This window comes from Homo sapiens, chromosome 16 (assembly GCF_000001405.40).
Source record: "Homo sapiens chromosome 16, GRCh38.p14 Primary Assembly".
Classification (NCBI taxonomy): domain Eukaryota; kingdom Metazoa; phylum Chordata; class Mammalia; order Primates; family Hominidae; genus Homo; species Homo sapiens.
In genome coordinates this window covers 25,881,798-25,896,224 of record NC_000016.10, presented here as the reverse complement: position 1 = coordinate 25,896,224, position 14,427 = coordinate 25,881,798, and the positions used below count along the sequence as shown (strand labels likewise).

Here is a 14,427-nt window from a genome sequence, read left to right as displayed (position 1 = left end):
ACACATCACTCCACCTGTTCCCAGACAATCCCAGCATCCTTCAGTACTTTCATAGTCATGTTTGTGGTAGAAGTAACAAACAACAGAGCTGGAGTCAGGGGACATGGCTTTAAATCCCAGGAGAATCGTTAAGAAGAGACTGAGATTCTGTTGGTCAAGGGTGGGGTCCAGAGGGACATGATGTGGAGCCTAGCCCAGCACCTCCCATTCCCAAAACCAGTCTCTCACCAGGGCCGTGGACATTAGTTCCCCCCATCTCCCACCAGTCTCCTCCATCCCCAGCCTTCTGTCCCCTTGTCCACTGTTACAGACTGAATATTTGTGTCCCCTTGAAATTCAGATATTGAAGCCTAATTCCCAATATAGTGTTGTCAGAAGATGAGGCTTTGGGGAAGTGATTAGGTCATGGGGGCCCTCAGGAATGAAATCTATGCCCTTATAAGAAGAGACACAAGGAAGATGATCTCTCTCTCTCTCTCTCTCTTTCCCTCTTTCCCTCTGCTGTGTGAGTATACAGCAAGAAGCAGCCATCTGCAAACCAGGAAGCAGGCTCTCACCAGGTCTCAAATCTTCCAGGGTCTTGACCTAGGACTTCCTGCCTCCAGAACATGAGACATAAATCCTTGCTGGTGAAGGCGCCCAGTCCACAGCATCCAGTTACAGCAGCCCAGACAACCGAGACAGCCACAGTCTCGGCTCCAGTTTCCATTCCTTCTCTGGTCCACTGCCTGCTTATCGAGCCCCTGACAACTCTCCTGTGACCAGCCCAGCATCCATTCACCCTCCACAAATCTATCAGAGTGATCTTTCTAAAACAACTCTGATCACATCACTGCCCATGACCAAAACATTCAATCATTCTCCATCGTCCTCATATGTCGTCCCCAGACCTACATTGTCTGATCCTTGTCTACCGAGCAAGCTTTATATCCTGCCATATCCCATTTATCCCTCTACCTGGTCATACATTAACTCACATCACCTTGTTCTCCCAAGTCTTAGGGCCTTTGTAGGCATGGTTACCATGGTCCAGAACTGCCACACACACGCACACACTTGTGAGCACACACACACACACACACATCCTGCCTCACCCATCTACCCTTCCCTCTCAGCCCTGGTTCCAGGCAGTTCCTAGAGGGACCCCACTAACACATACTCTTGTTATAACTCTCATCACACTTCCTTGCCATTACCATTTTTCTCATCTGTCTCCCACACCAAACTAAAACCAGGATTTTTATTCGCTCATCTCCCCATCACTATTGTCCAGTGCCTGATATGCAGTAAGTGCTCAATAAGTGTTTGCTGAATGAATACATAATTGCTAAACATAACGCATTCCATAGTGGAGGTAAATATGGAATGATATGAGAAGGAATTTTCCTACCAACTTGACTCTTACAAATAAAAAGAGGCCACCAGGCACGGTGGCTCATGCCTGTAACCCCAGCACTTTGGGAGGCGGAGGCAGGTGGATCACCTGAGGTCCGGAGTTCGAGACCAGCCTGGCCAACATGGTGAAACCCTGTCTCTATTAAAAATACAAAAATTAACTGGGCATGGTGTCAGGTGCCTGTAATCCCAGCTACTTGGGAGGCTAAGACAGGAGAGTCACTTGAACCTGGGAGGCGGAGGTTGCAGTGAGCCGAGATCGCACCATTGCACTCCAGCCTGGGTGACAAGAGCAAAACTCCATCTCAAAAAAAACTGAAAAAAAAAAAAAGAAAGAAAAAGAGGCCTACACCACAGGACGCCACAGTATTACAGAAATCCCAGAGGGGCCGGGGGATATTTTCCTCCTAGCAACTTCCCACTCTGCTTTCGGATCTGCTTTTATGCTCACCTTGCCTCCCACAACATCAATGATTTATTGACTAGTGACTTCTTTGCCTATATCTGGGAGCAACTTCATTTGCATACTAGACTGTTTTATTGCAGCCAAATCAGGCTTAAACTAAGAAATTGCTCCTGTAAACTAGGAAACACCCTCCCTGCCCCCTTCACAGAACACAGCATCTGGAAATCTGATGAAGTTCAAAGCACTCCAAGGAAAGCCACTAAAATGGCAATGGAACCATGTCCTGAGCAGAGAAAGGAGTGAACTGAGGTTATTCAGGGTAAGAAAATAGCGACTTGAGGGAGATGCTCCTGTTCTGTTCAAAAGGACTACAGGGAATAATATTTGGGCTCACCTGACATGCATTAGTACAAGGACCACACAGGTAGAAATCGCCCTGGTTTAAAACCTGGAAGAAATGCTTCACCACCCAAGCAATCCTCTACTGGCTGGCCTGATAAGTAGTGAAGAAGGCAAGGTAGAGAAAGGACTTCCCTGGACATCCCGGGGTGTCCCTGGATATCCTAAACGGGGATGGGATGTTCACAGTTCAGGGATATTATTGCAGATGAGGCACAGAGGACACATATTATTTTCACCTGTCCAATGCCCATCACCTTGTTTGTTAAGTGGACCCCACAATTTTCATTTGAAAAATTACCATTTCATGCTCAGTGGAAGGGGTGGGGCTGCCCCCATTTCCAGGCTCTAAACGTAGGTATATGACCCCAACTGGGTCATTCAAAATACCACAACACCATGGCCACAGTGATTGGCCCATGAATTTGCATGTGGCTCAAAGCTGGCCAATGGGAACCCTCCCTGGTCCATGAATTTGCATGTGACCCAAGGCTGACCAATGGTATCCATCTCTGGCCCATGAATTTGCATGTGACACAAGGCTGACCAACGGGATCCCTTCCTGGTCCACAGATTTGAATGTGGCTTAAGGCTGACCAGTGGGATCCCTTCCTGGGACTTTGTCCACAGAAGCTGCTAACTGGGAAGCATGTCAGCTTTGAGTGAAGGCAAATACGATCACATCATTCCCTTACTTTAAAATCTCCAACAGCTTCCCATTAGGCTTAAAATAAAATCTAGACTCTTTATCATGGCCATAATCCCAGCACCATCCTTCATCGGCTTCTCGCAGTTCTCACATGACTTTTCTCTTTGATCACTAAGCCCCAGCCATCCTAGTCTCCTTTTATTTATTCAAACACAGCAAAATCATCCCTGCCTCTGGTCTTTTCAGGCACTCTTCCTTCTGCCTTGCACACCATTCCCCACATCCACACACGGTGGGCTGCCTCCCTCCACCTGCGCCTTCACACACATTAACAGCTCAAACAGATTTTCTGTGATTACTTCTTTGCTCTCACTCTGTATTCCCTTACCCAAATCTATTCTCTTTATTATACTATCAACTAAAATTATACATCTGCTTTCATTTGTCTACTTATTTATTCTATCTTCTCCCTCTGGAAATAAGTTCCGTGAGGTCAAGGACTTTGCTGTCTTGTTCACTGCTATATCCCTGGTTTCTGAAACATGCCCAGTGCATAGGGGCCCCTACTAAGTATCTTATGGATGAGTTAAGAAGGGAATAGATTTATTCCCTGGAAAAGGAGGGCGGGTAATGGCTCTGAAAGATAGAGACAGAATTCCTCACAACATCTTTGAGGAATGTGGACACAGCTGAGGCTATCTCCCCCAGGACTTTTCAGTTAAGTGAGCAAATAAATTTCCTTTTTAGTGTATGCTGGTTGGGACTAGGTTTCTGTCACCTGCAATCAAAGACGGATACCAGGCAGTGGAGCCCAATCTTGTGAGCTCTCTCTTCCGTTTCAACTCATCCATTCTCTCAACATATTTGAACAAGGCTTTGTCACAATGGCGTAGGCTGCTGTCCTCTGTCACTCACTGTTGACTTAACATGGCTTAGTTCCAGGCCTTTTACCTGGCAAGTAAGATGAGGCTCAATGAGACACAGAGGAGATTAAATTGAAAAAAGTGAAAGAAAGTGTGTTCGGGGTCATAATGTTTTGGAAGTGACAGAATCAGCTCCTCTACTCTTGCTGTGCCTGGGGCCCTCCTCACTCCTGCAGGGGCCACTTCAGCTTGCCGCATGCCTGCCCCTAAAACACAGGCCCTCTCTCTGGGATCAGCTCTGACCCCAAAGAGAAGCAACTCATCATCTCTCATCTCACATTCTTTTGAGGTCAGATTTTCTAACAGGTTGGCCTGAACTTTGTTCCTTCATTTTGGCCACTAAATTCCTTGCTTGTTCCCTTAGCCTGAGTCTCTGTCTTGAGAACCTACTTAGTGATGATGATAATAATAGTAAACCCTTGCCTTGAGTTGGGATTTACAGTGTGCCAGGCTCTGTTCTGAGTACCTGCTATGAGTTCATGTAATCTTCATAATAATCCAATAAGATAGGTACAACTAGTAGTCCCATTTCATAGATGAAGAAGCAAAGGCACAGAGTTTAAATGACTCACCCAACATCACTCAGCTAGTAAGTGGTGAAGTCGCAATGTGAAGCCAGGCAGTCTGACTCTATAGCCTGTGCTACTAACAATAACACTATCATAATAATTTCATAAGACTGCACCACTTGTGGCAGACTAGAGTCCCCAAAGATGGAGGCAACAAATCTCCCATCCCACAGCTTTCTTACAACATCATTTTAACATCCCTTTCATTTGAGGGCTGGGGCTTACGTTTCCTCCCCTTGAACCTAGAGTACGTGATGCTATGTGGCTTTGAGATTCAATAATAGAAATGCCATCCATTTCTGTGTTGTTCTCATGGGACACTCAGTCTCGACACAGAGACCAAATGGTGATACCACATGTAAGTGTTCTACCTGGCAGCTGAGGTCCCAGAGAAAAGCCAGCAACACCACAAAACATGTAAGTAAAGATCTCTCCAAGGGTTCCTGCTTCCCATCATTGAGTTACCCCTAGCCTTTAAGTTTGCCCAGCTGAAGTCCCAGCCACCAGGAAGCAGAGACGCCCTCCTAAATGCCTGACCCACAGAATATGTAAGCCTAAAAAAATAGTCATTTCAAGCCACTAGGTTTCGTACTGGTTTGTTACACAGCAAGAGTAACTGGAATATCATCTCCTATCCGCAACCTTATATATACCCAGTCTATAGAACTCAGCCTCTGAACAGTATCTGGTTCAGTTCCTAATACCCGGTGACAGGCTCACTGTAGTCTGCAAGCCTGAAACGTTACCCCATCACTTCTTATTGGGCTTTCTGAGTGCCCACAGCCAACCTCAATTACCACTTCTTATCTGTAGGCAGATCCTCACATCACCAAGTGCTACCAGCTAGACTGAACTTGCTTCCCTTCTTGAAGCTGTTTCTGACCCCTCAGAGCTTGCCCATAGATCTCAGTTACCTGTCTCATTCCCTTCCCAGCCAGCCCCATCCATTTTCAAATGACCCAATCATGGCTCAGAAATGGAGCTGATCCGCCTTCTTCATTTGAGAGATGCAAAAATGGAAACCAAGCAAAATAAAACAAAATAGTAGTAACTGACATCTCTTGAATCCTTACTGTACATTACTCCATCTAACCTTAACACGTTATTCTACATATTTAACAATATTGACCCTATTATGCAAATGAATATCCTGAGATTCAAAAAGAATAAACCATGTTTGGTCATGCAGTTAGGTTAAGCTGGCTCAATTTCCCCAGAGAGGTCAGATCTGGGAAGACTGAAGATAAGATAGATCATAGATTCCATGATGGAAAAGCCATTAGGTTTCTCTCCAGCCAAAAAGTGTACCTGATGTCCCAGCAAGACAAGAGCCCTGGTCTAAATTTCCCTTCCTTGCAAACACATTCATGTCATCAATACCTCTAGGAAATAAAGATGGTCCTTCTCCATGAGCTAATGTAGTAGGTGTGGCTAAGATGACATGCACTGGCCAGAACCCTCCAATTTTTATTCTGTCTCTATGTCACATTCCAAGACCTAACAAGGTAAAGTCATCTGGGTCCTTACCCTAGGAGATGATAACAAATCCATCCTTGATGGGTGTGTGATGCCTCCCTATGGAAGGAAATACATAGTGGTGGCTAAGAGGACAACATTTAGAGTCGGACAAAGGTATAAATACAGGCTCTGCTACTTACCATATTATTTGTGTGACTTGGGGCAAATTGTGTAACCTCCATGAATCCCCATGCCTTCCTCAGTATAGAGGGAATAATAATATAATAATAGGATTCATCTCATGGGGTTGTGGTGAGGTCTAAGTGAGATAATGCAGTGTATTAAAACAGTGTATCTGTTCTCATGCTGCTAACGAAGACACACCCAAGACTGGGTAATTTATAAAAGAAAGAGGTTGAATGGACTCACAGTTCCACATGGCTGGGGAGGCCTCACAATCATGGTGGAAGGCGAAAGGCACATCTTACATGGCAGCAGGCAAGAGAGAGAGAGAGAGAGCATGTATAGGGGAATTCCCCTGATAAAACCTTCAGATCTCATGAGACTTACTCACTATCAGAGAACAGCACAGGAAAACCCCACCCCAATGATTCAATTACCTCCTACCGAGCCCCTCCCATGACATGTGGGGATTATTACAATTCAAGATGAGATTTGGGTAGGGGCAGAGAACCAAAAAATATCATGCAGGGAGTGTAGCACACAATAAAAGCCAAAAAATGACCATTACTAATGTTGCTATACACGAAAACAGCGTGGGTCCTTGCTAAACAGACATAAGCAGAATCTCACTACATTCTAGAAAAACCACCCTGAAATCTCAACTTACAGCATGAAGAATCCCTAAAATCCCACTAAGAATCAAGAATACCAGTCCTCAGATTTCTAAGTGTTCATTCACATGATTTCAACCACTGATTGCTTATTGATTGTGTCTAAATGTTGCTAAGAAACATTTAGACACCATCACCCTTAGCAATCATAAGACACTAATTCCTAAATTTCAATCTTCTCTAGCAAGTCTGGCGATGGGAAGTCCCTGCTTCTGACCTAGGGGCCGGAGGGGAGAGCCCCGACTTTCTTGTTCTCCAGTCTAAGAAACAATTAGGCAAACGATGAGCTCAGAGTCACATCCTTCTGGCAAAGGAGAGAGTCCCTCAGAGCGAGCAAGAAAAGATTCAGTTGTAATCCAGCTAATGCATCTCCGGAAGTGTTGCTATCTGCTGCGGAGCACTCCCCATTAAAGAAATCAATTTCACATTCGACTTCTCCTCCTGTGGCGCATATTGAAGTGGGATCTGACAAGGATGGAAAACAGATTTGCGTTAAATACTGCCAATAAAGCCTGTAGCTCAAGGTTATAGCAGTCAATGGAAATCCAGTGTCTTGGAAACCCTGACACCCTCATCCATCATTAGTGTCAGCAGTTCTGAAAGGAAGCGGTAGGTCTGGCTCAGGAAGGGGGATGGTTGCCATGACTGGGAATTTGGAACCATGGAAGCTGATTTAATGGATGTGCTAATTTCATAATAGGCCCTTGAAATAGGCCTCAGCTTCCAGGCCTCCAAGCATCTGAGCATCTTTTCAGAGTTGTTGTTGTTGTTGTTGTTTTGTTGTTGTTGTGAATACCTCTTGTATTTCCTTGCCCAACATCTACTCTCTCTTATTTTTCTATCCAATAGTACCCACTTTATCTTAGGGACTAGCTCCTCTTCTACTACTTTGTCTGCAAGAATAAGGAGGAATTTAACCCAAATCTAGCTCCAAGGGTAGGCAGGCATGTGAGCTCAGCTGGCCAGATCAGAGCAGAGCAGCACCCTGCCCTCAGTGAGAGGTTCTGGTTTGTGCACGTGGCCCAAGGAAGGACAGACAGAGCCAATGCTGCTCAGTCTTGGAAGTCACTGTAATTTTTTTTGTTAAAAGGAGTCATCTTTCTACTGGGGTGACTGCGGAGAAAGGATGCAACCTGAAGCTTCTGAAAACTATCTTATCACAAGAAGAAGTGAATAAAATCAGGCCAGAGAAACGCAGAGATAAAGAGAGGGAGAAAGGTAACCCAAAATCCGATTAGATCATTTGAGCTCCTAGATCATACTTCTCCTGAAGACCATCAACCGGACGTTTTCATTCCAAGATCCAATACCTTTTGTTTTTCTTGGTTTCAAGGCAATTTTAGCTGGGTTTTTGTCATGCAACTAAGAAAGACCTAACCGTTCCAGTGTAGCAGTATAGCCCAGATGAAGCAGGCCTGCTTGCTCTGCGGAGGCCAACTGAAGTCCACATTAAGCAATTAGTCACATCTTCCAATCAGATTCAACTTTCATGGCATGAACAACATACAGGCATATTATGGAAGATGTCACATGATTGATGGGAAACTGGATACACACCCCAAATCAAGTGTAGCGGGACGGGCGCGGTGGCTCATGCCTATAATCCCAACAATTTGGGAGGCCGAGGCAGGCAGATCATGAGGTCAGAAGATCGAGACCATCCTGGCTAACATGGTGAAACCCCGTCTCTACTAAAAATACAAAAAACTAGCTGGGCGTGGTGGTGGGCGCCTGTAGTCCCAGCTACTCTGGAGGCTGAGGCAGGAGAATGGCGTGAACCTGGGAGGTGGAGCTGGCAGTGAGCCGAGATAGCACCACTGCACTCCAGACTGGGTGATGGAGCAAGACTCCATCTCAAAAAAAAAAAAAAAAAAAAAAAATCAGGTGTAGCGGGCGCTAGGGATGCTCCACCCATAGCCATATGGATGTCTTACCATTTCCATGCTCAACATTCTGACTTCCAACCTTCAGAGCCTCCAGCTTTGTGGGAAGGCGGCTCCCAGTTGCAGAAGCCAGCTGTGCCCATCACAAGTCAGTAATTAATATGTGGGAATTTATTTATATCTGGTAATTAATATCTGAAAATTAATATCTCCCTGTAGACAACCCTTTCCCATTGACTAAGAGGGTGGGGGTTAAAATACTCCGCCTTCCTAGCCCTTTAGTGAGGATGACTGTGAGGCGTATTTTTAACCATGGGATAAAGCTTTAGACACCCACCAGGATAGCTGTCTTACTAATGCACCCCTATTTTCCCTTCCCTGTGCCACCTTCCTACTTCCTCAAAGGTGTAAGTAAACTATATCCCTCCTGAATAAATGATATAGCCTTGCCTCAGTGTCCGCTTCTGCCTAAAGAACGGAAACTTCCTCAAATTCCCCATCAGCTTTCTGTTACTCCTTCAGTGGACATTCCTTTCACGAACAGCCTTTTCTCCCCCACCCCCAGGTCACCCAACCTTCTACAAATCCCCTTTTATGATTCCTTACACATCCCTCTCTCCTTTAGTCTGTATATCCCACGAAGCAAAACAAAATCCTAGAAGCTCTCACACCCCTTCCACCCACTCCAAAAACTTATCAATATATTCACACAGCAAAAATAGATTTCTTCCAGAAGGAAATGCCATTGCCACCCAAAAATAATTTACCTCTAAATACCAGAGCAAAGGACAAACAGTCAGCTCCATGCTGGTGTCAAAGCTGAAACTGAAAGTCAGAAGCACCACCTGCGGGGTTCTCCAGGGTCAGGCTCCCACCTGCCTCACCTCCCACCTCTTGTCTCACCCCTCTCCGCCTTCCTTTCGACATTTAATGCAGATCCAGCCGTGCTGAATGAACTACTTGCAGTTCCCCTAAAATAGGCCATGCTGTCTCTTTCCTTCTGCCTTTGTAAATGCTGTTCCATCTGCCTGAAATATCTTGTCTACTCAGAAGCTCTTAAAGAACTTGTTTCCTTCTCACCCCACCCAAGCTCATGTGTTGCAGAACTTTCTCACCCTAAAGAGAGAGAACTTGGAGTGGGTTGCTTCGGGAAACTGAGCTTCCTTCTCTCTGAGCAGATGATCAAGCCAGGACTGATGATAACTTGGCCAGATGTTATAAATGGGAATGCAGATTTGGATAACGAAGTGGTTCCCCAAATTCAGGACAAGCACCACCATTACTTTAGGTGTTCTGCCGGTTGACTTTACGTGGGACACAAACACTGCAGTAGGTGATATTAAAATACACGGTAAGGGCTGGACATGGTGGCTCACTACTCTAATCCCAGAACTTTGGGAGGCCGAGGCAGGCGGATCACTTGGGGTCAGGAGTTCAAGACCAGCCCGGCCAACATGGTGAAACCCCATCTCTACTAAAAATACAAAAATTAGCCAGGCATGGTGGCACGCACCTGTAGTCCTAGCTACTCAGGAGGCTGAGGCAGGAGAATTGCTTGAACCCAGGAGGCAGACACTGCAGTGTGCCGAGATCATGCCCCTGCACTCCAGCCTGGGTGAAAGAGTGAGACTCTGTCTCAAAAAAAAAAAAAAAAAAAAAAACCACAGTAAGAAAAGTACTCCCATTTCAATTCTTCTTCATTCTTTTTGATTACTTAAAAAAGAGAAAGTCTAATTTCTATTATTTCTTGGTCTTTAGCACCTAACTTTTCCTAATCTCTCATGTTGGACAGGCAAAAGAAAGTATAATACTTTTTCTTCTCATCGTATTATGTTTATAATTTCCTTCTACTTACAGAAGGGTAGACCTTTTGTTTCTTTTCCATTTATATTCATAATGTAAAGTTTTCATTTAAGTGCAGAGTCAAACTAAAGATACTAAGAAAATGTTTACACACATATACATATATGTGTGATACTCTATATAATATATATAATGTTACATATATTTAATATTAATCACAGCTGGTGCTTGGATATGACAAAAATTTGTGAAGGTGACCATCAAATGAATCGAGTTTGTGGTTGGGGGACAGGTAGGGTTGTTGAGGGGTGGGACCACAACAATGGGCTGGAGTAGCTATACCTTAAGACCCCTTCCTTTTTTGAAACTTAATCAATATATGCAGTGTTTGGTGGGGAGTGCCCCAAATAAGGTATCCCAAAGTTGCAGAACTCGACAAACTGGCTGAAGCTGATCTTCCCAGCTTCCTAGAGGGTTTTAGAAACCAGGTAATAACATGAACTTTTCTCCTTGGTCCCCTCCTCTGAGGGTCTCGAAACCAAATTTTCACATTTCTGGATTATTGCAGAGTTGAGAAACCACTGTTTTGGCTACACATGGCTATTCTGAAGTACAAGGCAGAGGAAGTCCCCATCTTGCTGAATCCCAGCTGTGATGTAGGACAAAGGCTTTTCTGCCTTTGATAAACAAATGAAGCTAAACATTAAAGGTACTTTCTGATCCTCATTTAAGGAGGCAGCCCCAAAGCAAACCAGCCAGACCTTCCTAAGCAGCTTTGGACATCAAGGTTGAAAAGCAGTGAGTGGTTAAGCTTGTCATTTTTTATTCTGAAATGGTTATGCTCGTCATTTTTATTCTGAAATGGGGCTCTTCTCCTCCTAACCTTCCTGACTGCCCCTTCTCACTCAACCAAATGCATTCAAATCTATTTAAGTAACCTTTATGAACCAGGCACTGTTCTGGACACTAAGGGGTAAACAAAAAGTCAGAATCTACAAAATACTTAACCTCGGCCGGGCGCAGTGGTTGACGCCTGTAATCCTAACAATCCTAGCAGTTTTGGTAGCTCAGGCGGGTGGATCAACTGAGGTCAGAAGTTCGAGACCAGCCTGACCAACATGGCGAAACCCCATCACTATTGAAAATACAAAAATTAGCCAGGCTTGTTGGTGCACGCCTGTAATCCCCACTACTCGGGAGGCTGAGGCAGGAGAATCACTTGAACCTGGGAGGCAGAGGTTGCTGTGAGTTGAGATCACGCCATTGCACTCCAGCCTGGGAAATACAGCCAGACTCTGTCTCAAAAACAAACAAACCAACAAGGTACTTAACCTCAAAAGCCTATGTTCTAAAGATGCTACAAAGGGGAGACAGACAATAAATACACAAGAACATAAGTAAATGAAATGATAACTCCAGAAAAGGTGATGTTATTTTAAAAATTAAACAGGATTTGTTGAACTTTGCCTGCGGGCACATGTGTGTGTGCATGCTGTGGGTGGACAGCCAAGGTGGCCAGTGATGAATTCTGTAATATTTTGATCTGAGACTTGAATCATGCATGAAAGAAGCAGCCTTAAAAGATCTGAGGGAAAGGCATCCCTGGTAAAGTGACAGCATGTACAATAGCCATGCCACGGAACTCCTTCAATTCATCTCCTTTTTATTTACTTTCCTCGAGTACTGAACCTTCTCTATGCACCCTCCACTTCTTTTTCCGTGATTTAGAGACATGGCTCTGAACTAGGTTGGATTCTTTTTTTTTTTTCTTTGAGACAGAGTCTCGCTCTTGTCACCCAGGCTGAAGTGCAGTGGCATGATCTTGGCTCACTGCAACCTCAGTCTCCCCACTTCAAGCAATTCTCCCGCCTCAGCCTCCCAGGTAGCTGGGATTATAGGCACCTGCCACCACAGTCGGCTAATTTTTGTGTTTTTAGTAGACGGGGTTTCACCATGTTGGCCAGGCTGGTCTCGATCTCCTGACCCCAAGTGATCCACCTGCCTCGGCCTCCCAAAGTGCTGAGATTACAGGCATGAGCTACCTTGTAGAACTGGGCTGGATTCTTAATAGCATCACTAGTTAATAATAAGACTAATCTTGTTGAAGTCTCAGTTTTCCCATCTGCAAAATGGTAACAAGTATAATAACACTTATTTTATAGGATTGCTGTGAAAATTAGATGATGGATATAAAATGCTCAGCTTATTCCTGTGTAAACACTCCACACCATGGTTACTCATTCCTGAAATGTCACTGCTTTCCTTGGACAAATTCCAGAAGACACATAGGTTCCCATGGTCTAAACACCTAGTCCTCTCCAAAAGCTGACCTGAATTTGAATTCTGAGCCCTTTCCTGTTTGAATGAGTTTGGGATTATTACAAAACAGAAACTGATGTAGTTTATTTATTTATTTTGGTTTTAGGTACTTCCTGCTACCCCGTCAACAGCTAGAGCATTCTCTGCCCACTGTCTTCAGTGTGGGGTATTTTTTTTGTTGTTTTTTCAGCAGGGATCCAAAGAGAGAAAGAGTCAGTACTTGGCCTTTGAGGTTCAAAACAGTCCTTTGAAACTCAAGGCAGGGACTACAGTCTTGAGCAAAAGGCTTTTTGAGTTTCAAGAGCCTGTCTTTTGAGTTTCAAAAGAACAAAATCCTAGGCTAACTAATAGGCGTAGAAAAATATGCTCATTGATCTGTGAGAATGAGATTTTTGTCTGAAAAAAAAAAAAAAAAAAAAAATCGTATGGGCCAGAGAGAAGCAGCAGAGAAGAAACAAGAAAGTTAGATTCTGGTCAGGGAGCCTGGTTTAGCCAAGGCCAGTGGAATATGAGATAATAATAAAAATACAGAGAGGAGGGTAAAGGGGAGCTTCTTTTCACATCTCAAGTGGAGACCAGGAAAGTGAGCAAGATCCATGAGTTCTCTGTCACCCTCCCAGAGGTCAGAGCAGTAGAACAGGAATGACAGCTGGTGAGATGAGAGGAAGAAGCTGGGTCCCCTGGATCTGCAGGAAGAAGCGAGTTTGCCTGCCTTCCATCATTCACATGAGCACGGTTCATCACCATGTTAATTATTCTTGTGGGCATCTGGTGAAGACAGTGACCAGCATGTCTCAACAAAGAGGAATCTGTCTGTGCCCCAAGACTTTGCTTCATGCCATCTGAATTGCCCATGCGGAAAAGCCCCCTTTACTATCTTTCAGAGTAGTCATAAGCCCTCAAGATGGAACAGTGGCTCGAAAAATCTAGGTGAATAAGCCTCAGTGATGATAGTTTCAGTAGAACTAAAAGGAACCAGTTTGACTTCTCCCTAGAGCTGGAAGGACACTAAAACATGCCTTCATTATACAGTTGCAATCAAAAGACATTTGCTGGAAAGACAATCCACCATCGGCAAACTAATGGCCCAGAGAAAAAGTGCCTGAAACTGCCTGCCATGAAGCTGACATAGCCCTCTGCTCCCCTGCCTTCCAACTCATTTCCTCTCCTGGAACCGAAAGGAAATTTCAGGAACATAAACTTCTGCAAGGTGGTGCTAGACTGGAGGGACTATGTCCCAAAGTCTCCAAAGCTCTTCCCTTTCACTTTCTGGACTCCATACTCCAGAAATCTTTTACAGCAGCTCTAACAACTACCTTGACCAAGAAGGGCTGGAGGAGGCTTCTCAAAGGTGTATTCACTTCAGGGAATGTGTTCATCCTGGGTTGCCCTCTGGACTCTGTAGCACATGAAAGAGAAGGCACTCATCACTAGCTTACCTGAATTTACAATGACCCTGTTCACATTTAAACCAACAAGAGAGAGGGACGGAGGGTAACTGCCTCAGTTTCCCCAAAGAGGCTTAGCCTTTGAATCTCTGAAAGCAAAGCCACCTGAAGCTGCCAAAAGCAAAACTATAAGAAGGAAAGGTGAACTGACTGTCTTCATTCAGAAAAGACTTTCCATCAATACTGTCCCTGAAAAAGAATGATTAGAATCCAGATTATGAATCTGAAGCTTTTTTTATTTTTAATAAAATCAATTTCATAGTCAATGTGACTTGCACTCAGTGTGAGAAACCCCTGTGGGTCACCGAGCTGGCTAACAGC

At 44.5% G+C, this 14,427-nt stretch overlaps 1 protein-coding gene across 1 annotated transcript in view, besides 2 other annotated features; it reads right to left on the bottom strand.

Annotated features, from left to right (window-relative positions):
- The window catches only part of HS3ST4 (heparan sulfate-glucosamine 3-sulfotransferase 4), a 445,727-nt gene that overhangs the window by 241,461 nt on the left and 189,839 nt on the right, over positions 1–14,427 (bottom strand). The gene's annotated exons all lie outside the window — the stretch shown is intronic.
- Positions 6,379–7,578: an enhancer, noted in NCBI's record as "BRD4-independent group 4 enhancer chr16:25899968-25901167 (GRCh37/hg19 assembly coordinates)". NCBI's record gives its function as "activates an origin of replication core promoter dependent on BRD2, P300/CBP, MED14 and CDK7 cofactors, and independent of BRD4, by STARR-seq in HCT116 cells {active_cell/tissue: HCT116}" and the evidence as "EXISTENCE:reporter gene assay evidence [ECO:0000049][PMID:35650434]".
- Positions 10,749–11,323: an enhancer, noted in NCBI's record as "NANOG hESC enhancer chr16:25896223-25896797 (GRCh37/hg19 assembly coordinates)". NCBI's record gives its function as "activates a minimal SCP1, AML or CMV promoter by ChIP-STARR-seq in naive H9 embryonic stem cells {active_cell/tissue: H9 hESC(naive)}" and the evidence as "EXISTENCE:reporter gene assay evidence [ECO:0000049][PMID:30033119]".